Below are 24,288 nucleotides of genomic sequence, written 5' to 3'. Positions count from 1 at the left end.
AGGTTTGAGGCTGGAGGCGGAAGTGACGTCACGGAGCGCTGCTGTGTTTTCCGGCGCTTTCTCCGCGCCGCCAAACCCGTTTTCTTCCTGGTGGCGTTTGGGCTTAATACAGCTTTGGCGAGGTCGGATGACGGGTGGGAGCCAGCGGTGGAAGGGGTGGCGAAAGTACCGGTTTGCCCCAGGCCGCCGAGGGGCCTCCTTAGAGAGACCTTGCCTGCTCCGCTCGCGTCCGCCGGGGCCGCGCGGGTCCTCCTGGCGCCGCCAGGTTCAAAAAGCCACTCGAGTTGTCACTGCGACGGCCCTGGGCCAGGAGCCGTTTCGGGATCTGTCGTAAGGGCGCTTCCTCACGATTTTTGCAAACACGGTGATTGCCGCTTCAAACTCTTCCAAAGCAATTCTTTGTGACTTTTTTTTTTCCAGAAACAACGAGTTTTCGTCGTTCGAATCAGGTTGACTGGTCCTTCATCCCCCCAATCTCCCGTACCTGGCGAGTCCAGCTCGTCGCGGTGAGTACTGGGGTGAAAGTTGGTTTCGGGGGCTTCTTCCTCCTGTTTTATCTGAGAATTTGTTTTTCTCTTTGCGCATCCTGTATTTACTTTTGACACTCTACATTCAGGTAGAAACATAAAGCTATTTTTTAGGTATCTGGGGTGTGGTTATTTCTCTATGTGAATATAAACGTTTGTAGACCAGAAGTCTTTCTACTGAAGAAAAGCAAGAATACTCAGCTATTCTTTTTATCTGAACTTCCTAGGCCTGTACCTCCCCACAGAGCTTCAAAACGGGCTTTTAGGAAGAAGGAATGGAGGCTTTGAAGTAAGTTGAACATTGCAGGCGTGACACTTAAGGTTTAAATGCTTGGTAATACGTGTCCTGTGGATAAAGACATGTCCTTTTAAAACCATAATACTATTACCCCAGAAAATTTAAAATGTTGTTAATATGTACCCTGTGTAAAAAGGTACAGTTCTCCACTTTGTTCCAATATATGGTTTTGATTGTTTTGGGATCTATTACGTATCCAAGTTTCATGTCTTTTAGTCTCTTTAAAACTAGCAGACACTGTTTATCCGTTATATTGTCTTTTTGCGCAGTCACTCGTTCTTTCAGAAAGTTATACATTTTGGTAGTTCTGATTGTATTCTGTGCCGTGTTTAAATGTATCCTTCATTTATTGGTGTATCCTGTAAATGGATGAGTGTCTGAATGGTTAATTAAGGCATAGTAAAAAAATTCAGCCTAGGGCTGTTCTTAGGGAGGTTGTAAACTAGTGGAGGAGGCTGTCATGTAACCAAGCAAATAAGTGTATTACAAATTGATGAAGGTCTGTAAGTAAAGTAGAGGACAGAATTATTTTCTCTATTTTTCTTTGGAATAGGCAATGCTAAGAAAAGAGTGATATGCAAGCTGAGACCAAAAATATGGTATGATTTAGCCATACTGAAGGGGAAGGAAATAAGAGCTGGGCAAAGCATTCTGTGAATTGGCTGACTCCACTTCTATGGTGAGAGAGAGGAGTGCATCAAAGATTACTCCCAGGTTTGACAGAGTCAGTATTCTTTCTTTGGTTGGGGAAACAATGTGGTGGGATAATTTAATCTTAAATGTATGACAGGAAATAGTAAGTGATATCTTTTGGGAGACAGAGTTTCGCTGTTGCCAGGCTCCAGTGCAGTGGCAGGATCTCGGCTCACTGAAACACTGTAACCTCCACCTCTTGGGTTTTCAAGCCATCCTCCTGCCTCAGCCACCCTAGTAGCTGGGATTACAAGTGTGCGCCACCATGCCTGGCTAATTTTTGTATTTTTGTATTTTTTTTTTTTTTAGTAGAGATGGTTTCAGCATGTTGGCCAGTCTGGTCTCAGACTCCTGACCTCAAGTGATCCACCCACCTCGGCCTCCCAAAATGCTGGGATTACAGGTATAAGCCACTGTGCCTGGCCAAAGTAAGTGATATCTGACAAATGATGTAAATCAAGGGAAAATAGGAGAAGCATGAATGTGTTTTAATTACATGAATAAGAAATTAATTCAAGGGATTAATGAGAATCAGTGCTTGATCACTGAAAAATAAGCTCTCCATGAAAATTCACTGATGTTAATTATTAGTCTTAGGAAATATGTATATTCATAAACAGACAAAACTTCTCTCGTTGTTTTTTTCAATTCACTTTTGGGTTCCTTCTCCTACCTAAATTAGTCCTTCGTTTCCCTGAAGGAATGTCCAGAGTAAGCACTCTGCGTGACTCCTTATAGACACTCATACACCTAGGGGGTTGGCTTGATACAATCCATGTAAGTAAATGACCAGAAAACTCACCTGCCAATGTGGGCTGCCAAAAAGCTGTGAAGGGGCCACATGGCCTGGAAATACAACAGATCTTAGAATAATGTCTGTTAATTATAACATCGATGACGGAAAAAAAATCAAATTCCAGTAGGGCCACTCTGTAGATTCTGCACGTTCTTCCCATGTCTGCATGGGTTTTCTCTGGGTACTCTGGTTTCTTCCCACATGCCAAAGATGCACATGTTAGCTTAATTGGTGTGTCTAAATTGTCCCACTATGTGTGTGTGTGCCCTGAGCTGTTAGGATGGGCTCTGGCCATTTTCATTCTGGAACTGGAATAGGTGGATTGGAGAATGAATGAATGAATACAAACTATTGTAAAATAAAAATTCCTAAAACATTTGATAATGATACAACTGTACAACAGTAAATGGTACCACTTAGCAAGCTGGCCCCATTTGTTATTGTTTTTGAGCTTCTTGGTGGTAGGAGGTGGTCCTTAGAGTTTTTGCTTTGGAAGCATTTATTTGTTTTAACCCACCACTGTTAACTGCCATCACATACCAATTCATCAAAAATTGGATAAATAGCCTATTTTTATTAGTCTTTCTTAAATGTATATATATTTCACATTTATTTCAATATTTAATATTAGAAGTGTTTGGGGTCTTTATTTAGAAGTTTAGTGATGTTTTTGTGACCAGAAATATGCTGTAGGAGCTTAACTCGCTTATATTAATTAGCATGTGAAAAAATTCGCTTTGTTGTATGTCATTTCGCTTAAAGTCTCAGTTTCCAAGAACCTGCTGATGACTTTAAGTGAAGACTTAAATTCTATACATTTTCTCTGTTTGGCACTTAGGGGTTCCAGTGAACTAGCCGCATGTAGTGAAATCATTGATGGGGATTCTGATATAAAGTTGCTGAGGATGTGCATATACTGCTTTTTGGAGAGTGTATTGGCAAACCAATTTCAAAAACTGTTGGCAGTACATACTAGGTTTATACACATACATGCCCTACAGCAACAGTAATGTATACACTATGTGTATCAAGATAAAAGTAAGCCAGGTGCAGTGGCTCACGCCTGTAATCCCAACACTTTGGGAGGCCAAGGTGGGTGGATCACTTCAGGTCAGGAGTTGAAGGCCAGCCTGGCCAACATGGTGAAACCCTGACTCTATTAAAAAAAATACAAAAATTAGCCGGGCATGGTGGTGGGTGCCTGTAATCCCAGCCACTTGAGAGACTGAGGCAGGAGAATCACTTGAACCAGGGAGGTGAAGGCTGCAGTGAGCTGAGATTGCGCTACTGCACTCCATCCTGGGCAACCAGAGTGAGACCCTGTCTAAAAACAAAACAAAACAAAACCCAACTGACTTGAGACCTCAATTACATCTGCATTCTCTTCATTTTTGCTTATTCTTCTGTTAGAAACTGGTCAAAGGTCGTGCGTGCGCTCAACAGGAGGGTGTTATCCAGGGGTATGAATGCCAGCAGGTGGGGATCTCTGGGGTCATATTACAGTATTTGGCCACAGTGTGGCTGTAGCCCACTGGATGGTGAAGTTTGCTGGGTTACTCAGGCGGGAGTTAGTCATAGTCCTTAGGGAAGATTGAAGCAGTGTTTCAAGGCAAAGGCCAGCTGCAATGGGTGGATCAGCCTGTAGGGGGAGTCAGGACACCACTGTAGCTATGAGGCTTGGACTGGTTCGTGTCTGCCCTGGAAGTGCTGTGACAAACACACCTCTGGGGCACACTCACACTGATGGTGATGGGCAGCTATGCACAGGAAATTTGGATGCCACTTTGTTTGCAAGGCCTGGGACTTCAGTGTTCACGTTCGGAGGCCTTTGGGAACAAACCTTTGGGGTACAGGTCATGCAGCAGCATGCATCCTGGCATGCGCATTGTCTGTGTCATGAGGGACACAAGCCATCAAGCCAGTCGGCACATGTGCAGAGGGTGCCTCTGCTAGTGGGAGTCCTTTGAGCATGTGGCGTCCATATTAGGAGGGCCACAGGGTGGTGGTGACTGGGCCAGGGTTTTGTGGTATCCTAAGGACTGTGTTATGGGCATATGGCGTGGACAGAGCACCCTCCAATGCCCTCACACCCACACTGCTGACCACCGTGTCGCAATTGTATCCAGCAGGCAACGCTCCCTTTTGCAGTGTCCATCCCATGTCCCCTTTTAGTATGTTCCTCTAATTAGGTCCTGAGGCTTCTGTCTCTGGAGAGTGGCTGTAAATTCTAGCTCTGTCCCGACCAAGAGGAGAGGTGTTCTGGTGTGTTGGGTGGGTTAGGTACAGAAAAGGCAACACAACAAAACACATCAAGTAGCAGAAGCATTTTATTCCTTACAGATCCGCGAGAAGAGGGTTGCCCTTGAGGTCCTGACAGCAACTCAGGAGACAGCCGGGTGCTAACCAGTGGGTGGGGAATGAGACAGAGAGGACCTGTGGGACTGTGCCTTTGTTACGGTCCATGGGCCTTATCCCTCAGGCTTTCCCAGCGTGGTTGTGGATTAGGTAGACCTGAGCAGTGGGGAGAACTGATTTACATGACTGATGTTGGCCAGTAGGTTTCATTATGGTCAGCAGCTGTGGGGTGTGTTGGGTTTGGGGTCAGTGAGGTGAGGAACAAGTAGGCTATGTCACAAACAGCACACAGGGAGGGGAAAGTTTTAAGTAAGCCAAAGGTGATGGGGTCTGACTGGGTTCCAAATAACTTATGTCAGGCCTAAAAATAGATGTAGGGCAGTTATGTTGGAGGGTATGAGCTGATGATTTAGTAAAGCATATGTAAAGGTTAGTGGTATTGTGTGTAACCAAGGGGCAAGAGTGGTGTGGTTGGATAGGCAAGGCTGGAGGTCAAGATAGAAAGTGAGAAGGGTAGTAGTGTTGCGGGACGATCAACGATGGGAGAGACTGAACAGAGTGAGTTCAGGAAAGGTCTTTAAAAGGTGATCACCTGGCTCAGGAGGACTGGCATCCAGGAAAGTCTGAGCCCTGGACAAAGAAAGCAGCCACCTTTAAAGCACTCTGGCCGGGAGCTACTGATACAGGAAGCGTACTTACAGAAGCGAGAACGAAGGCAGTTGATCAGTCTTTTACATTTATCTATACTACATGTTCCACATCCCTGGGAAACCATGTTTCTGTATTAACCTTGTAACTTTGCAGCTGCGCTAGGGAGGTGAAGCAGGAACTCACTGAGCCTCAAGGAGTGTGAAACTAGCAAGTACAGATAAGGCTGGCTGAGCACAGAAGGAAAAACAGGCAGTTAGTATTCTCTCTTAGGCTACTGGGTGGGGGGGTGGGGTAGGAGGAGGGGCTACGCTACACTTAGCTTTTGCAGGAAAAAGTAAAAATTTTTGCTCGTCTTTGATTGTACTTGTAAAATTCATGAATTCCTTCTTCATTAGAAGGCATCATGGAGTAGGTGGTCCCCTCCCTGGGGTTAAGGAGTTTACCGACATGAGGCAGGTGCCTCTTGGGGAAAACAGTAATCTCCATTAATTTTAGTAACTCCTACCAGATTTTCCTTCAGGCTTGGGTATGTGGGTGTGCACATTTGAGCAGAATGCAAGTACGCTACCAGGATCAGGGGCTAAGCAGACAGTTCAGAAAGAAAAAAATGTTCTGTGTCCATTTGTGTTTTAGGAGAGGCAGTCCACGGATGTCACTGTGTGGAGGTTTTAGTGTAATGGTGGAGTCATCTCCACCATCAGAGTCTTGGGTCAGGGCTGTGTTGCTGGAGGCAATGTTGTTTCCAGCGGTGATATTTTGGGCTAGGACAAGGTCGTCTAGGATGTCACTGGGGTATAAAGTGGATACCCATTGAAGTAGATGTGGCCCTCTAGGTTGTAAACCAACAAAGCATCTAGTAAGACGAACCGTTAACAGAATGATATGTAGCTGTACCTGACAACATGTTTTTGTTTCTGTCTTTTGGTGGAAGTTTAGGTTCAGGTGGGTCCCCTATCAGATGAGCAGCTGCCGGGCCTCTGGGACAATCTAATGTTAGTAAGTCCCAGGCGACTGTGCACCCTCGATTTGGCCTTCAGTGTTTGTGGGATGGGGGCAAGATTGAAAATAAGTTAAGCCCTAGAGCATGATAGAGAATTTCAGGAGTTTGTTTTTTGGACTGGAATTTGAAAAGTAGTTATTTGAGGACATTTTTCTGTCTTTCAGTGAAACCAGTTATCTGAGACCTATTAGGGAAATGAAAGTTCTATTGAATATATTTTTCGAGGCGCTAGCATTATGTATTTTAAGAAATGAAACATGGGTTGGGCACAGTGGCTCGCCCCTGTAATCCCAGGAGTTTGGGAGGCCGAAGTGGGAGGATTGCTTGAGCCCAGGAGTTTGAGACCAGCCTGGGCAACATAGCGAGACCCTGCCTCTTAAAAAAAAAATTAAATTGACAAAAAAGAAGTGAAATATATATGTAGGTTACTAATAATGTCTGTAACTCTGAAGGGAATAAGTAGTGTCCTGGCAAGGCCTCGTATTGTGCCTTTAGTGTTTGGAGAGGTATGGGATTTTGCTTTATATTTTGGGTATCTGTCAGACAAGAGATTCCCAGGGTTTTTTTTTTTTTTTTTCCCACCCTGGAAGGGACAGTTTTTAGGTAATGACCCAATAGTTTATTGTAACCATGAAGAAGGTGGGTCGGTTTGTTGACCTGGGCATCCAGCGCTAAGACAGCTGCCTGAAGTTTGGCCAGGCACGTTGTTTCTTGGGTCCTGTCCTTTATTAGGGACATCCTGGCTAAGGGATGGAAGGCAGCAGCATTCCACTGAGCCCCATCACTTATAATGGTCAGCAGTGGCCTTTGCACAGTCTATGAACTCCCATTAGTGTTCACTTAGTTAATCCCAGGGGCTTTCCAGGTAGTCAGGGGACCTGTGGGAGGGAGGAGTGACCACCTTCAGCACGCTGGCATCAGGCAAGGGACTGAGAACAGGGGAAGCCACTGCCTTCTGCGGGTGGATTAGACCCAAGGGCCTGAGATTGGCTTCATCGTGGCCTAAGGAGGCCTCAGTGGCCAGGCAGAGCTTATGGGGGGTTGTTTCCCTGACCTAGAGCACAGTGGGCAGCTGCATAGGAGGATCACAGGCTCAGGTCTGTGAGATCCTCTGTTTCCAGGAGAGCCCAGTAGATGGCCAGTCACTTGTTTTACTGGTGAATAACAGGAAGTCAGGAGGGGCAGTCTCTCCTAGACGGCCTGGGGCAGCTAATGACCATCGTAAGTGGTCTAGAGACTCCAGCAGGCATTTAAAAAGTTGCCAGTCTCTAGCATGAAGGGAGTCCTTTTAGGAAGTTGATTTTTCCCCCCGTTTTCTTTTTTTTTTCTTCGAGGCATTAATAGGAGTGCTTGTTGATTTTAATTTAAATTATAATTTGTAAATCAGGCATATGTTGCCACCAGAACCCAAAAATTACTAAAAGATACTGGAATTACTTCCCCTTAATGACATGTCAAGAGTTTCCTTGGGGAAGGCTGTTATCGGTGCGGTGCATACCTGTGTTCCTGGAGAAGGTGGATGTTGTTAAGATCTCGTTTGCAAAGATCGTATGTGATGACAGATCTGTTGGGTAGCCTGGAAAAGGTGTGTTGTGTCCCATTGGAGGGAGAGGCAAGCTGCAGCTGAGAGGCTGTTGAAATAGGCACTGAACAGGGCATGTTGTCCAGGCCGGGTGTGGTGGCTCACACCTGTAATCCCAGCACTTTGGGAGGCCGAGGTGGGCAGATCACTTGAGGTCAGGAGTTCAAGACCAGCCTGGCTAACATGCTGAAACCCTGTCTCTACTTAAAATATATATATATATATTAGCTGGGCATGGTGACGCACACCTGTAATCCCAGCTACTCGGGAGGCTGAGGCAATAGAATCCCTTGAACCCTGGGTGGCGGAGGTTGCAGTGAACCGAGATTGTGCCACTGCATTCTAGCCTGGGTGACAGAGCAAGACTCAATCTCAGAAAAAAAAACAAACAAACATGTTGGTCAAATTTATAATTAAAAGCACAATAGTTATTGGTTGTTTATTGAATAAAATCAGGAGTTTTAATAATATTGGGTGTGGGCACCTTGATGGATGGGACCACAGTATGAAGGCTGTAGTAATCCAGCATGAGGTGCCCTTTATTTTCTTTTTCAGATTCAAGAGCAGGCACAATTGGGCTGTCAAATAGAGAAGCAGTAGGGATAATCACCCCTTCATTAATTAGGTTTTATAGAAGTTTTCATCCTTGAGGCCCTGTTGTAACTTACATTGGGCCATGTGAAATATTTCAACTAATTATCCATGGGGTCCCATTTTATCAAGCCAATTTGTAAGTGTCAAAGTCTCACTTTAATTTTAATTTGTTATTTATTATGTTAGCATATTTATACCTAATATGGAATATTTTAGGGCCATGGGTACTATGACAATGGGAGATTTAAGCAAGGCTACAGTTAAAGCGAGGCGTACCTATTTTTTTTCTCCTGTATTTAGTTACCCTTTTAAGATTTTAGGGAGCACAATGTTTGAATTTAGTGGGATCCCCAGGTATAAGTGTAATTTGAGCCCCAGATTGAGTAGGCCTATGCAGTTTTGTTAATTGGTACATTTTACCAAATGTTAGTTAAAGTCTAGTTACCTTTTATTTTTTTCCCCATGTCTCATGGTCTGTGTTTAAATCATTAAGTAATCTAGGGCCAGCGGGATTATGTTTGTTAGACCTGGCATTTGTTTAGTACTTAAAGTTCAAAAAGTTCCTCTTTTTTTTTTTCTTGAACTTGTAACCTCCTAAATCTCGAGGCTTTTTTTCCTTTTTTTTTGGTCTTAGACTTTTAACTGCCTGAAGGGTTCTTAATTTCTGTCTCTGGTTGATAAGAGGAAAAGAAGGAGGGGTAAGGCGCCCAGTGCTTCTAGGCAACAGAGGACTGGGAACTCCAGACCTCAAGACAATCAGTTTCTTTCCCTCTATTTTTTTCTTCTAAGTAAAATCTTCAGAATGGCTTGTATCTCCAGGTGGCTAAAATATTTTTTCCTTTGTTTACCTGACAAGCTCCCGGTGGTCCCGAGTGGCCCCGGGTCCTCTGGCCTCCATTTGTGCTTCCCATCTGACCCCTTTGTAGGCAGCCGCCTTTCTCTCTAGGGTGCCCAGTTGACCTCGTCAGGGTGGGGGCGTAGAGCAACAGATGCAATGGAAGGCAGTGTCCTGGGGATAGCAGACCCCAACAGCAACCTTGCCAGCGAGGTGCCGTCATCTCCCCAGTGAAGGGGTTGCTACTGTTGTCAGAGTGGGAAGTCTGGTGGCCTCGTCTGTACTGCTTATCCATACAGTGGGCAGTCAGAATGCCGGTCTTCCTCTTGCACTCCGCTAACCCTTTGATTGGCCCAGCGCCTGCCTTACCCCTTCTGCCTCTCAGTAGCAAGCCCGTTATGCCAGAGTGAGGCCTTGGGAATACAGTTGGCTTCCTCCAGCCCAGCAGTTCCTATTTGGGGAAGTGACAGCAGTCTTGGATAGTGACTGTCGTGCCCCTCTTGCCCTCTTAAGGCTAGCAGTTGGTGAGTCCTAGGGAGCGCTTGGACTATGGAGGACCCACCCAATTTAGGGATGGGAGTATTGGCAGTGCTTCACAGAGACAACAGGCAGCAATGCACAGCAGCAGAGAGGTACCCCAGCAGGCTGTGGAGCCCTCCCATATGGCATCAGCCATGTGAGTGGGCCAGGTAGTAAACAGGCCAAGAGCAATCTGAAGGCCTGGTCTTGTGTCCCTCAGGTTGTGACCACACACCCTGTTCACCACACTGAATATATTTTCCTCTGTTTTGGTCTAGGGGGTCTCTCTCTCTCTGGAGAGTGGCTGCAAATTCTAGCCCTACCCAGACCGGGAGGAGAGTTACATTCCAGTGTGTTGGGCGGGCAAGATGTAGAGGAGGCAGCACAACAAAACACATGAAATGTCAGAAGCATCCTCCTACTCACAGATCCCCAGGATGGGAGGCTGCTCTCGGGGGCTGATGGAAGTCCAGAGACAGCCGGGTGTTCAACCTGTGGGATAGGAATGAGAGAGGACCTGTTGGGCCTTGCGTTATTAAGGTGCATGGACGTTATCCCTCAGGACTTCCTTTGGGGGTTGTGGATTGGTTGCGCAAAGGAAAGTTCTTATTTATATGACTCTGGTGTTGGCCACTAAGTTTCACTGTAGTCAGCAGCTGTGAGATGTGTTGGATTTGGGGCCAGTGAGGTGAGGAACAAGCAGGCTGTATAACAAACAGCTACACAGGCAGGGGAAGTTTTAACTAAGACAAAGACGATGGGGGTATTGGAGCTGAGATAAATAAACAGCTAACTGGCATATTTCACTTTTGGTTCTTTACCATCCATATGCACTCTCCTACACACATAGGAATTTCTTTGGAATAATTAAACAAGTCTATATTCCTACCTAAGAAGATATGAGGGAAGAAGTCCTCACCCACCCCCAAAGGAGCAGATGCGCAGTTCAAACAGTCCTTTGTATTCCCATGGCACGCCATGTCAATTACTCCTCAAATTTAGTCCCATTCTAACTATTCTGTTTCTTAAAGACAAAATTATAAATGTAACCTCTAATAATGTGTATATAAAATAAAAGTGGGAAAAAGATAGAAGTAAATGGTTCATTTAAATAAATAAACACATGGATATAAACACACATACGTATAACAAGCAGAGAGAAAACATGCAAAACTACATTTCTTGTTTCTGTCACTGCTCTTGAGGTTGTAGTTGATGTCCATGGTTTACTTCTTCAGTGACTAATTCCATATTTTCCCTGCCCTCCACTTGAACCTCAGCTGCTCCGGGTTTTGTACCAGGGAGGAGCAATACAAATCTTCGTTCGCCCAGAGTCCGAATCCTCTGTTGTCCTGCTTTCGTTCAGTTGTGGTTTTCCATTAACCTTTTCTATGGAGTATAGAAGTACTCGGAGGTTCTACACCTCATCACTTCATCCTCCTTGCCTCAATTGTCTAGTAGTGCCACAGTTTCCCTTTGATAATTGGGATTAACCACTCCAGCCAGTAGATTAACTTTTTTCTTTTTTTTTTTTTTTTTTTTTGCCTCTTGGTTTAGTGGTATATGAAGCCCAAAAGGGCCAAGTGGCAGTCTCCTGTTCCAATGCATTAGAACCATAGCTGTGCCCCCTGGGGGGGGCATTTTCCTCTAGGGTCTAAGAAGATCTCCAGACCAGCAGTGCTCTGAGTTGCTGGGAATAAAAGCAAACTTCTGTCAGTGGAGTTAATTCCACCTTCACCCATCAATTCTATTTTTTTGTTTTGTTTTGAGATGGAGTCTTGCTCTGTCGCCCAGGCTGGAGTGCAGTGGCACAATCTCGGCTCACTGCAACCTCCACCTCCCGGGTTCAAGCCATTCTCCTGCCTCAGCTTTCCAAGTAGCTAGGATTACAGGCATGTGTCACCACGCCCAGCTAATTTTTCGTGTTTTTAGTAGAGACGGGGTTTCACCATGTTGGCCGGGCTGGTCACGAACTCCTGACCTGAAACGATCCACCTGCCTCGGCCTCCCAAAGTGCTGGGATTCCAGGCATGAGCCACCGCGCCTGGCCTACTCATCAATTCTTGGACCCATGTATTCTGACTCTGGGGAGACAGTACCATGGAAGGCTTTATGACTCAAAGCGTACACCTTGACCTGTGAGTCAGAATTCCTTTCTAAGGGTTGTCCCCCATTTGGCCCTATAACTGAGTTTTCAGTATGCGATTCCACTTTTCATGTAGATCCACTGCTTCTGAGTGATGGGGTGTGTGATGGAACCAGTTGATTTCAAGGACATGCTTCCATTGTTGCACTTCCTCTGCAGTGAAATGCTTTGCTTGTTTAGAAACTCTGTTGTGTGGAGGCCATGACTACTGATAAAGCATGTTGTGATTCCGTGGGTGGTGGTGCCAGCAGAAGCCTAACTAGTCGAAAGGCAGATCCACACCGGAACGTGAGTCTGTTCTGGTGGGGATGAGTCTTTGACAATTTCCTGATAGAAGAGGGCCCATTACAGCATGGCTGGCTGGTCTCCTCTAAGGAATGGTGCTGTATTGGATGCTCAGTGTTGATTTCTGCTTTCAGGAGATTAGGCCCAGCAGTAATGTTAGCTGGGTCAGACTTGGTAAGGGGAAGTCCTTATTGCTGAGCCCACACATAGCCTTTATCCCTGCTGTCATGAACATTTTTTAATGGGCCCATTGAGCAAGCACTGAGGTGCAGCTAGGTAAAGTAACAGGTATCTTTAGAGCACGTGATTTTGTCTGCTCTATTTCTAGTGGATCACGGCAGGCATTCACGTGGGACACAATCTTTCCTTTCAGAGACGTCCATCCATATACCTTTTCCTAGGTTTCCTTGTTACCACTCTGGTTCATTCCACATTTTTGACCATCCAGCCAAGCCATCGGCAACTTTTGATGAATCTGTGTATGTGTATGCATGCATCTTGTCAACTCTTACTCCAGACCCAGAAGCAGGCCAATACACTGCCTGAAGTTCTGCCACTCGGAAGATTTTCCTTTAGTACTGCCCCCTTCAGGGTCAGCCTTTAGCGGGGCTGTAGTGCTTCTGCTCTGCACTTTTAGCGGGTACTAGAGCTAGTCATTGGACTCGGGGAAAGCAGGAAGCAGCCCTCTGGAATGCAGGCAACCCTGGCTATTGTGCTCATGAGCAGAGGAAGTTGGGGTGCCAGTAAGGATACAAGACTGAGAGCACTAAATATCCACATTAAGTGGCCAGGGGAAACCAGTCTTTGGTATGCAGACAGGCCATGGGTGGTGGCTAAGTGCATAGAAAGAGACAGTATTCCTGTCACCCTTGCATTCTTTGAGTAGTTCAATGCATTTCCTCAGAACTCAGATGCATATTGTGTTATGAATTGTGATGGGGCTGTAGTCTGGGTGTACTTTAACAGTGTTGAGAAGGATCTCAGTTGTCTGTCCAGCCATCACTGGGTGCCTTTAGGCTCCATGCCAGGTCAAGGGGAACATTGGCACCCAAAGATACCTAAGGCTGCCCATGAGATACAGAGACTCCACAAAGAAAAGCAAGTTGCAGTGTCACCCAGCATCATCCAAGAACATTCCTAGAGACTCGCAGAGTTCCTTATGATAAAAAAAAGGTTTTGTTGTGGCCAGGTGCAGTGGCTCACGCCTGTAATCCAGCACTTTGGGAGGCCGAGGCGGGCAGATCACAAAGTCAGGAGATCGAGACCATCCTGGCTGACAGGGTGAAACCCCGTGTCTACTAAAAATACAAAAAAATTAGCCGGGTGTGGTGGCGGGTGCCTATAGTCCCAGCTACTCGGGAGGCTGAGGCAGGAGAATGGCGTGAACCTGGAGGCGGAGCTTGCAGTGAGCCGAGATCGCGCCACTGCACTCCAGCCTGGGTGACAGAGCGAGCCTCCGTCTCAAAAGAAAAAAAAAAAGAAAGGTTTTGTTGCTCCAAAAATAGGAAAGTTCAATGTGTGTATCTATCTACCCAGTAATGTTGTTACAAGATGTATAAAGGAGTATACATTACAGATACACAAGAAGAAATAGACAAGTCCACAGTTGCAGTGGGAGATTTTAGAATTTTTATCTCATGTTATTTAAATAGTAGAGAAAAATGAAGATAGGATGTACATTTGCGAGAGATGAGCACACTGCCTAATTTACCTGTCCAGTGTTGTGTCTGCTAAATGAAGGAAATCACAGGGTGCTTATCTGGAGTTGAGAGTGAAAAGATAGACTGGAAGGGGCAAGAAGGTTTTCATGGGGAGACGAACATGTTTTATATCTTGTTTAGGCTTTTGATTATGCAAGTGTATGCGATTGTCAAAATTCATCCACTGAATACCTAAGATCTGTACTTTTAATTGTACATTAATTACATTTCAAGTTTAAAATAACATAATTGGTTTAGATTTCACCAAATTAAACACATTTGTGGCCCTCTTCAGCCTAAGGATCCCCAGTTTGAAACCCATGGTAGTGGGTACAATCTACACCAGGAGTCTAGACATGGGGTTTCTGTAACCCAGTGTGACCTCAGAGTTTCAGCCTTCTCATTCATAGAATAAAGGCTGTAGCGTCCTTGTGGGGGTGTATCTGGTTCATGGATAATGAACTGTTCAGTTTTCAGTGATTTTCATCGTTCAGATTCCATTCTGTCAATCAGCATTTGCACTGTTGTTCTGTGTTTGATTTATTAAAGATTGTGATTAATTTTTATTAAATTTTATTTTAATTGTATAAATTTTATTAAATTAAAATACATTCTGTTGTTGGGTCATACTCGGTTTATATGGAGTGGGTGTTCAATAACACATGTGGGTAGTGACCATGGTGTTGTACTGTGCAGGTTTAGACTAACGCTGGTCATGTGGGAAAGTAAGAGCAGCCACAGATTGGGTGTCAGGGACAAAATTGCCTGTGTTCAAGTCCTGGTTCACAACTTCCAAACTGGATGATTCTGGACCAAATCCAAGTGTTGTCTGATTGTAGGTTTTCTTTTTTTTCTTTTTCTTTTTTTTTTTTTCCTTTTGAGAGAGAGTTTCACTCTGTTGCCAGGCTGGAGTGCCGTGGTGTGATCTCGGCTCACTGCAACCTCTGTCTCTCAGGTTCAAGCGATTCTCCTGCCTCAGCCTCCTCAGTAGCTGGGATTTATAGGCATGCACTACCATGCCCAGCTAATTTTTGTGTTTTCAGTAGAGATGGGGTTTCACCACATTGCCCAGGCTGGTCTTGAACTCCTGACCTCAACTGACACACCTGCCTTGGTTTCCCAAAGTGCTGGGATTACAGGCGTGAGCCACCGCCCCCGGCCTGATTTTTTCTTTATCAAATAGGGGTCATTGGTATCTACTGTAAAGGGTGGTTATGATAATTAAGCGAGTATATAAAGCTGCTAGTGTGACTTCTGACACACACTGTTCCTCAGTAGTGGAAGTTGGTCTTCCTACTATTTGTAGTGTACACCGTTTTCAGTGTCTTTTCCTCTATATGCTCTGCAGAGAGAGTGCTAATGATGTCTGATGACTGATAAGTAATGCTTGTTGATTAATGATTTATACAAACAGGATACCGTTAACCCTGGATAAAGAGAATGGAGGTTACCTCTGTCCGTGTAGATTCCTAAGCTGTCCTGGAGTGATCCTTGGAGTAAAGGAAAGGTGCTTTGAAGCACATTCAGCCATCAGCCCTGTGGGATGGCAGCCACTGATTTGTCCTATGGTAAGTCCTGTTTCTGTTCATTTTCAGATACCCTGCTTTAGGTGTCCCCCCCCACACAGTATGGAGTCCAGTGGCCTGTGCCTGATCATTCACGCTGCAGCTTCATTTCTGAGGTGCTGATGTGGGCTAGGGAATGCTTTGTTCCTTTTTTTTTTTTTTTTTTTGAGACAGAGTCTTGCTCTGTTGCTCAGGCTGGAGTGCAGTGGCATGATCTCAGCTCATTGCCACCTCTGCCCCCCAGGTTCAAGCGATTTTCCTGCCTCAGCCTCCCGAGTAGCTGGGATTACAGGCGTGTGCCACCACACCTGGCTAATTTTTTGTAATTTTAGTAGAGATGGAGTTTCACCATGTTGGCCAGGATGGTCTCGAACTCCTAACCTCAAGTGATCTGCCTGCCTCGACCTCCCAAAGTGCTAGGATTACAGGTGTGAGCCATCACGCCCAGCCAGAATACTTCATCAGCCCCCTGCTGTGTGTGCTTTGGGAAGAGGTGCTGTGTCTTTCCAGGGAAGAGAAGTTTTCCTTATCTGTAAAATAAGACTGTTACCCTTTTCCCAGTGGGCAGCATGGCTGACTATCCTTTTTTTTGCCTTTACGTGAGGCAGTAGTGCCCTGGAATTGATAGCGGTGGTGTGTATGTGTGTGTTTTCTTGAGTGTGCGGGAGTATATAGGAATCTCACAGTAGGATGGAATGACTTTGGGGTACGTGAATGTGGGAATTATCGTCAGCCCTGGGTTCTCATGCCTTCTTTCTTTTCCATGAGGTCTTTACAGGGACCCAGTCTGCCTTCAAGAAAAGACAGAAGTAGAAAGGGTGGTGGCTGACTGTCTGACAAATTGTTATCAGGTATGCAGGAAGTATATCCTTCTCCAAAATATCATACTTGCATCACCAGGTAGACACATTTCCTTCTACACAGAATTATCTTCAGAGCTTCTTAAAGCAAATAAAGCCTCCTTCAAGGACTGAGTCCCTAGTCGAATTCCCGGAAGGAGTGGAGCCTGTCATATTGGTGAGGGTTTGCCTTGAATGTCATCCCAGTATTTCAATATTGATTAATTAGTCTTCCCTCATGGTCCCAACTGCATAGTTTTTATTTTGTTGAGTGTTCTGACACATGGTAAGGGACATGAAAGTATCCTTTGAGATAATCTTTCCATTCATCAGTGTTTATCTAGCATCTGCTCAAGAGTGTGCTGCAGTGGAGGGAAATCAGATGACCTCCCAGTCTGGTTGTGTTACATACAATCATGTGTAAGAAGTGCCATTCAAGCCGTGTCACTGGAGGGGACTGACAGTGAGTGAGTGTGGATAGAGAGGACCTCCTGGGGTGGGCAATGTGAGCCCTCAGACTCTGTAGGTATTGCATTTTGCAGTGAACACTGGTAGACATGTTTTGTGGCTCAAGCCAGCATGTGTGTGATGGTTTAGGATTCAGTGACTTTTGATGATCTGGCTGTGGACTTCACCCCAGAAGAATGGACTTTACTGGACCCAACTCAGAGAAACCTCTACAGAGATGTGATGCTGGAGAACTACAAGAATTTGGCCACAGTAGGTAAGACTGGCCTCATCCCTTGTAGCCTACTATGGAACAGATTATGTTATGTACTTACTGTATTGCACATCAGAGATAGCAACTCTGAACACAATGGGAAATAACAGACATAGTCCCTGCCCTAATAGGGTTTCATCTACTTGGTGATTCTCAAAATGTGGTGTCAGATGAAGAGCATCACCAGCACTGTTGGAGATGTATGTTCTCAGTCTCCACCTTTGACATACTCAGTGAGAAACTGCAACAGGGCCCCTGTCATCTGTGTTTTAACAAGCTCTCATGAATCTGATGTGCTATAATGTTGAAGAATGAGATGTATAGTTGTTTCCCATGAGAATGAAGATCTCTTTGTTTCACTTAACTTCCTATTTGGATAAAAGTCTTAGTGCTTTGTAAGTGTGTACATCAGCCTGGATTTGGGCTTCAGGGATCAGAGATCACCAATCTTTTGGGGGCACAGACAGACGATATTTGCATTTTTAGCCCTTTTAAAATAATTTCACTGCTTCCATTGGAACTATATCTCCTGAGTTGTGGAAAGATTTATCATCTCTTGCATGAGCCTCTTCTGGTAATGTATCTTTCTTTGTGCACAGGATATCAGCTCTTCAAACCCAGTCTGATCTCTTGGCTGGAACAAGAAGAGTCTAGGACAGTGCAGAGAGGTGATTTCCAAGGTGAGTGTTCACAAAGGACCGCCCTGGTCAATAAGTTCAGTATGTTTATAAGTATAATGAGGAAACTTTTTTTTTTTTTTGAGATGGAGTCTCACTCTGTCACCCAGGCTGGAGTGCCGTGGCACAGTCTCAGCTCACTGCAACCTCCGCCTCGCAGGTGCAAGCGATTCTCCTGCCTCAGCCTTCTGATCTCCTGCCTCAGCCCCCTGAGTAGCTGGGATTACAGGCTCACGCCACCATGCCTGGCTAATTTTTGTATTTTTAGTAGAGGCGGGGTTTGACCGTGTTGGTCAGTGTGGTCTCAAACTCCTGATCTCATGATCTGCCCACCTCGGCCTCCCAAAGTGCTGGGATTACAGGCGTGAGCCACCACGCTTAGCCATAATGAGGAAACTTTTTAAGATGTGCTTCATCTCACAGTGTTGAGGCCATTATTTTTTTTATTTTTATTTTTTTCTGAGACACAGTTTCACTGTCACCCAGGCTGTAGTGCAGTGGTGCGATCTCGGCTTACTGCAACTTCAGCCTCCCGGGTTCAGGTAATTCTCCTGAGTACTCGTCCTCCCGAGTAGCCGGGACTACAGGTGTGTGCCACGCCTGGTTAATTTTTTGTATTATTAGTGGAGAGAGGGTTTCACCACATTGGCCACGCTGGTCCCAAACTCCTGACTTCAAGTGATCCACCTGCCTTGGCCTCCCAAAGTGCTGGGATTACAGGCATGAGCCACCATGCCCAGGTAGGCCATTTCTTTCTCAGAAGTTAAGAAATCTTCAACTTCTCATACTTTTACGCTTTGTCTACTCATTCTTTTCTGTGATAGGACCCGTTGGTTTCTTCTTTAAAAGTTCCTGTTTTGGGCCAGGTGTGGTGGCTCACGCCTATAATCTCAGCACTTTGGGAGGCTGAGGCGGGCAGATCACATGAGGTCATGAGTTTGAGACCAGCCTGGCCAACATGGTGAAACCCCATCGCTACAAAAATACAACTATTAGCTGGGCGTGGTGGCGCACTCCTGTAGTCCCAGCTACTAGGGAGGCTGAGGCAGGAGAATCGCTTGAACCCAGGGGCCGAAGGTTGCAATGAGCCAAGATCGTGCCGCTGAACTCCAGCTGGGGTGAGAGAGCAAGACTCTGTCTCAAAAAAAAAAAAAAAAAAAAAAAAAAGGCCTGGCACGGTGGCTCACGTCTGTAATCCCAGAACTTTGGGAGGCCGAGGTGGGAGGATCACCTGATGTCAGGAGTTCGAGACCAGCATGGCCAACATGCTGAAACCCTGTCTCTACTAAAAATGCAAAAATTAGCTGGGCTTGGTGGTAGGTGCCTGTAATCCCAGCTACTCGGGAGGCTGAGGCAGGAGAATCGCTTGAACTTGGGAGGCGGAAGTTGCAGTGAGCCGAGATTGTTCTATTGCACTCCAGCCTGAGTGACAAGAGTGAAAGTCTTTCTCAAAAAAAAAAAAAAACAAAAAACAAAAACAAGCTCCTTGTTTTGATGTGTGCTTTTTGTTCTATTCCTCAACTTTCCTTCCATGGTAATATTCTTTGTGTTCACCATCAGTTTATAATTTTCATAGAATCAGTTTGTAGTAAACTATGTAAAATTTTGACGCTATATCCTTATTATTGCCAAATTTTTGATATACAATCTTCAAATCTGTCTTTGTGTTTGTTTTTTGTTACCGTGTTTAATTTGAAAACAAATACAGGGGCCGGGTGTGGTGGCTAATGCCTGTAATCCCAGCACTTTGAGGGGCTGAGGCGTGTGGATCACGAGGTCAGGAGTTTGAGACTAGCTTGGCCAACATGGTGAAATCTCGTCTCTACTAAAAATACAAAAATTAGCTGGGCGTTGTGGCATGTGCCTGTAGTCCCAGCTACTCAGGAGGCTGAGGCAGGAGAATCACTTGAACCTGAGAGGCAGAGGTTGCAGTGAGCTGAGACCACGCCATTGCACTCCAGCCTGGGCAACAGAGTGAGACACCGTCTCAAGAAAAAAAGAAAACAAGTACAAATGATCCCTCTCATTTTCAGCTCCATCTGTCTACCCTGTATGTCTCCAAACCCTTACATTTCTTTTTCTCTTCAGCTTCAGAATGGAAAGTGCAACTTAAAACCAAAGAGTTAGCCCTTCAGCAGGATGTTTTGGGGGAGCCAACCTCCAGTGGGATTCAAATGGTAAGATTAACAAGGATACGTCTTAGTTTTCACATTTAGAGATGATTGGGGATTCCATTATAGAAAATCAGAATAAAGCTGGGAATGGTGGCTCACACCTGTAATCCCAGCACTTTGGGAGGCTGAAGTGGGAGGATCACTTGAGGCCAGGAGTTCTAGACCAGCCTGGTCAACGTAGCAAGATCTTGGCGCTAAAAACTAAATTTAATTACATTAAAAGAAAAAGAAAATTAGCAGAATGAGAGCTCTTTGAGATAAGTAGCATTCCCAAAAGGGATAATGACTCTGGAGAGAGACTCAGAATACGATGACCTGGGGATGCTTGAAATCTAGCTTGACACTTATTGTTGTTTTTTTCTTAGACAGAGTCTTGGTCTGTCACCCAGGCTGGAATGCAGTGGCATGATCTTGGCTCACTGCAACCTCCACCTCCTGGGTTCAAGCGATTCTTGTGCCTCACCCTGCTGAGTAGCTGGGAGTACAGGCACGTGCCACCATGCCCGGCTAGTTTTTGTACTTTTAGTAGAGACAGGGTTTCACCATGTTGGCCAGACTGGTCTTGAACTCTTGACCTGAGGTGATCTGCCCACGTTGGCCTCCCAAAGCACTGGGATTACAGGCGTGAGCCACTGCGCCCAGCCAACACTTAGGTGTTTTAGAGTTCCCCTCAAGTACACATTTGTAACTAGATAGTGAGTTTTTAAGACAATTTCATAAAACTCTACAGACATTTGAGATTAGAGTAGATGGCACAGCCTGGCAGGAGTTTTTTGTCATTCCGCTGGAAAGAAATCAAAAGGGCATTACTTATATGTGTGTAATGAAAATGGTAAACATGATAATAATCATCACAGTGTTCCTCTCTTCAGATGAGTGGAATCTGTTAATCAATCTGAACCGTCCTTTAATCATCATTCATTCCTTTATCAACAGATAGGAAGCCACAACGGAGGGGAGGTCAGTGATGTTAAGCAATGTGGAGATGTCTCCAGTGAACACTCATGCCTTAAGACACATGTGAGAACTCAAAATAGTGAGAACACATTTGAGTGTTATCTGTATGGAGTAGACTTCCTTACTCTGCACAAGAAAACCTCTACTGGAGAGCAACGTTCTGTATTTAGTCAGTGTGGAAAAGCCTTCAGCCTGAACCCAGATGTTGTTTGCCAGAGAACGTGCACAGGAGAGAAAGCTTTTGATTGCAGTGACTCTGGGAAATCCTTCATTAATCATTCACACCTTCAGGGACATTTAAGAACTCACAATGGAGAAAGTCTCCATGAATGGAAGGAATGTGGGAGAGGCTTTATTCACTCCACAGACCTTGCTGTGCGTATACAAACTCACAGGTCAGAAAAACCCTACAAATGTAAGGAATGTGGAAAAGGATTTAGATATTCTGCATACCTTAATATTCACATGGGAACCCACACTGGAGACAATCCCTATGAGTGTAAGGAGTGTGGGAAAGCCTTCACCAGGTCTTGTCAACTTACTCAGCACAGAAAAACTCACACTGGAGAGAAACCTTATAAATGTAAGGATTGTGGGAGAGCCTTCACTGTTTCCTCTTGCTTAAGTCAACATATGAAAATCCATGTGGGTGAGAAGCCTTATGAATGCAAGGAATGTGGGATAGCCTTCACTAGATCTTCTCAACTTACTGAACATTTAAAAACTCACACTGCAAAGGATCCCTTTGAATGTAAGATATGTGGAAAATCCTTTAGAAATTCCTCATGCCTCAGTGATCACTTTCGAATTCACACTGGAATAAAACCCTATAAATGTAAGGATTGTGGGAAAGCCTTCACTCAGAACTCAGACCTTACTAAGCATGCACGAACTCACAGTGGAGAGAGGCCCTATGAATGTAAGGAATGTGGAAAGGCCTTTGCCAGATCCTCTCGCCTTAGTGAACATACAAGAACTCACACTGGAGAGAAGCCTTTTGAATGTGTCAAATGTGGGAAAGCCTTTGCTATTTCTTCAAATCTTAGTGGACATTTGAGAATTCACACTGGAGAGAAGCCCTTTGAGTGCCTGGAATGTGGTAAAGCATTTACGCATTCCTCCAGTCTTAATAATCACATGCGGACCCACAGCGCCAAAAAACCATTCACGTGTATGGAATGTGGCAAAGCTTTTAAGTTTCCCACGTGTGTTAACCTTCACATGCGGATCCACACTGGAGAAAAACCCTACAAATGTAAACAGTGTGGGAAATCCTTCAGTTACTCCAATTCGTTTCAGTTACATGAACGAACTCACACTGGAGAGAAACCCTATGAATGTAAGGAGTGCGGGAAAGCCTTCAGTTCTTCCAGTTCCTTTCGAAATCATGAAAGAAGGCATGCGGATGAGAGACTGTCAGCATAAGGAATGTGGGAAAACCTAAAGGTGTCCCTGTTCTCTCTGAAGACATGAAAACTCACTGGGGAGAAACCCTATGAATGTAAAAATGTGGAAGCAACTTTGTATCTCAGGTCTTAATGAACACATATGAATTCACAGTGGAGAAGACCCTGCATCAGGGAATGTGGAAATGACTTTGCTGAATTCTCAAGCCTTACCAAACACATCAGAAATCTCACTGGAGAGAAACTGTATGAATGTAGAGAATCTGGGAATACCTTTCTGAATCCCACAAACCTTAATGTGTGTATGTGAACTCACATTGGAGAGAAACCCTGCAATTTAAATGGTATGGTCTGGATGATGCCCCACTCCATATTTGTAAGCCCTAAGTCCTAGTTCCTTACACTATAACTGTATTTGGACATAGGGTTTTCAAACAGGTGAGTAACTTCAAATGAGGTTGTTGGGTTCGATCCCTAATCTGACATCACTGGTGTCCCTATAAGGGAAACTGAAGGAAGGATACACATGGAGAAGACTGTGTGGATCCACCAGAAGATGGCCATCTACAAGCCAAGGACAGAGACCTGGAACAGATGCTTTCATTATGGCCTCCAGAGGAAACCAACCCTGTCTCCACCTTGATATTGCACTTCCAGGCTCCAGAACTGTGAGGCAATAAATTTCTCTTGGTTAAATCATTCAGTCTGTTATTTTGTACAGCAACCCTAGGAAACTAATACTGTGAGGAACTTGGGAAAAGCTTTAGATCAAGCTTGTCCAACCCGCAGGCCAGGATGGCTTTGAATGCAGACCAACACAAATTTTTAAGCTTTCTTCAAACATAATAAAATTTTTTTGTGATTATTTTTTCCGTTCATTAGCTATCATTAGTGTTAGTGTAAACACAAAAGCAATCACAGGAGAGACGTTCTATGAATGTAGGACATGTGAAGAAGTCTGTAAGTGCTCATCAGATCTTAATACTCACTTCCAACTCTTGTGGTGATAGGCCCTGTGAAAATCAAAGACCATCAAGAAGAGAAAGTTTCTTTTACTATGAAAGTCATAAATGTGACTTCACCCAACATTTAGTGACTTAGAGTGGACTGAGGCTCCATTATTAGTAATGTGGAGAGATTTCATTAAATGTTTATACCTTACATGAGAAATAAAAATTCACAGTGTAGAGAACACTTCTGCTGTAAGGCACGTGGGAAAGCTTTTACTAATTCCACGAGGCTCATTTTACATATCTAAAATTAGACTGCAAGTGAGCCAAGACCCCTACACTCCATCCTGGGTGACAAAGCAAGACTCTGTCTCAAAAAAAATAAAATAAAATTAGACTGCAAATGTCCTGGGAATGTAGGGGAATGTATGGCAACCTTTAAATATCTCACATGCCATAATGTTAACATGAAATCTCACATTGGAGGAAGAACCTGTGTATCCCAGGGATATGGTGTCACCTTATTTCATTGCTCAAGCCTTAATATCTTTGTGAGAATTCACACTGGGGTAAAACCCTGTGATTATAAAAAGGATGCAGGAAGTACTTCATTTGCTTCTCATATCTTACTGTATCACAGTTCATAGCCATGTGAATGTAAGAAATATGGGAAAGCTGTCAGAATCTCTTCACAACCCAGCAGGAAGTAACTTGCAATGAGACCACACAGTCTGTGAAACATGGAAAGCCCTTTGCTGTTATCTCAGGGATTGCTTAAGTAAGGTTTTGCAGTAGAGAGAAATCCTATTAGTGTAAGAGGTTTTGGAGAGTGGTAGTTCAGCTAAATAATGTTGACTTCTCAGATTGGAAAACTCTGACCAATTGAAAATGTTTTATTACTCTTTTAAAATATCCGTGTTCACCTGGTGCAGTGGCTCAGAGCTGTAATCTCAGCACTTTGAGAGGCTGAGGTGAGTGGATTGCTTGAGCTCAGGAGTTCAAGACCAGCCTGGGTAAC

General features: G+C 44.7%; 1 protein-coding gene across 45 annotated transcripts, besides 1 other annotated feature; it reads left to right on the top strand.

The window, feature by feature from the left end:
* Positions 41–23,185, top strand: ZNF266 (zinc finger protein 266). 45 transcript variants are annotated; one of them, NM_001370378.1, is made up of 12 exons: positions 41–330; positions 421–506; positions 755–816; positions 1,379–1,539; positions 1,831–1,946; positions 15,396–15,549; positions 16,315–16,563; positions 16,719–16,848; positions 16,983–17,109; positions 17,706–17,786; positions 19,872–19,960; positions 20,894–23,185. In NM_001370378.1, the coding sequence occupies exons 9-12, from the start codon at positions 17,076–17,078 to the stop codon at positions 22,337–22,339; spliced, it is 1,650 nt and encodes a 549-aa protein (NP_001357307.1). In that variant the 5' UTR covers positions 41–330; positions 421–506; positions 755–816; positions 1,379–1,539; positions 1,831–1,946; positions 15,396–15,549; positions 16,315–16,563; positions 16,719–16,848; positions 16,983–17,075; the 3' UTR covers positions 22,340–23,185. The 45 variants fall into 45 exon arrangements, with proteins under 45 accessions (NP_001357307.1, NP_001357306.1, NP_001357326.1 ...); NM_001370377.1 differs by having other exon boundaries at positions 1,828–1,921; NM_001370397.1 differs by having other exon boundaries at positions 1,828–1,946.
* Positions 121–250: an enhancer, noted in NCBI's record as "active region_13929". NCBI's record gives its function as "activates an Ori minimal core promoter by ATAC-STARR-seq in GM12878 lymphoblastoid cells {active_cell/tissue: GM12878}" and the evidence as "EXISTENCE:reporter gene assay evidence [ECO:0000049][PMID:35858748]".
* Positions 23,186–24,288: the final 1,103 nt, after the last annotated feature.

Source organism: Homo sapiens, chromosome 19 (genome assembly GCF_000001405.40).
Source record: "Homo sapiens chromosome 19, GRCh38.p14 Primary Assembly".
Classification (NCBI taxonomy): Eukaryota; Metazoa; Chordata; class Mammalia; order Primates; family Hominidae; genus Homo; species Homo sapiens.
Note: the sequence above shows the minus strand (reverse complement) of the source record. Positions and strands in the feature narration are given on the sequence as shown.

Excerpts from the sequence above, each read along its gene's own strand:
- ZNF266 (XM_006722623.4), top strand. The coding sequence starts at position 15,525 with ATGGCAGCCACTGATTTGTCCTATG. Across the intron at positions 16,398-16,982 it reads GTCTGACAAATTGTTATCAG|GATTCAGTGACTTTTGATGA; the intron begins GTATGCAGGAAG and ends GTGATGGTTTAG. Across the intron at positions 19,961-20,893 it reads CCTCCAGTGGGATTCAAATG|ATAGGAAGCCACAACGGAGG; the intron begins GTAAGATTAACA and ends CTTTATCAACAG.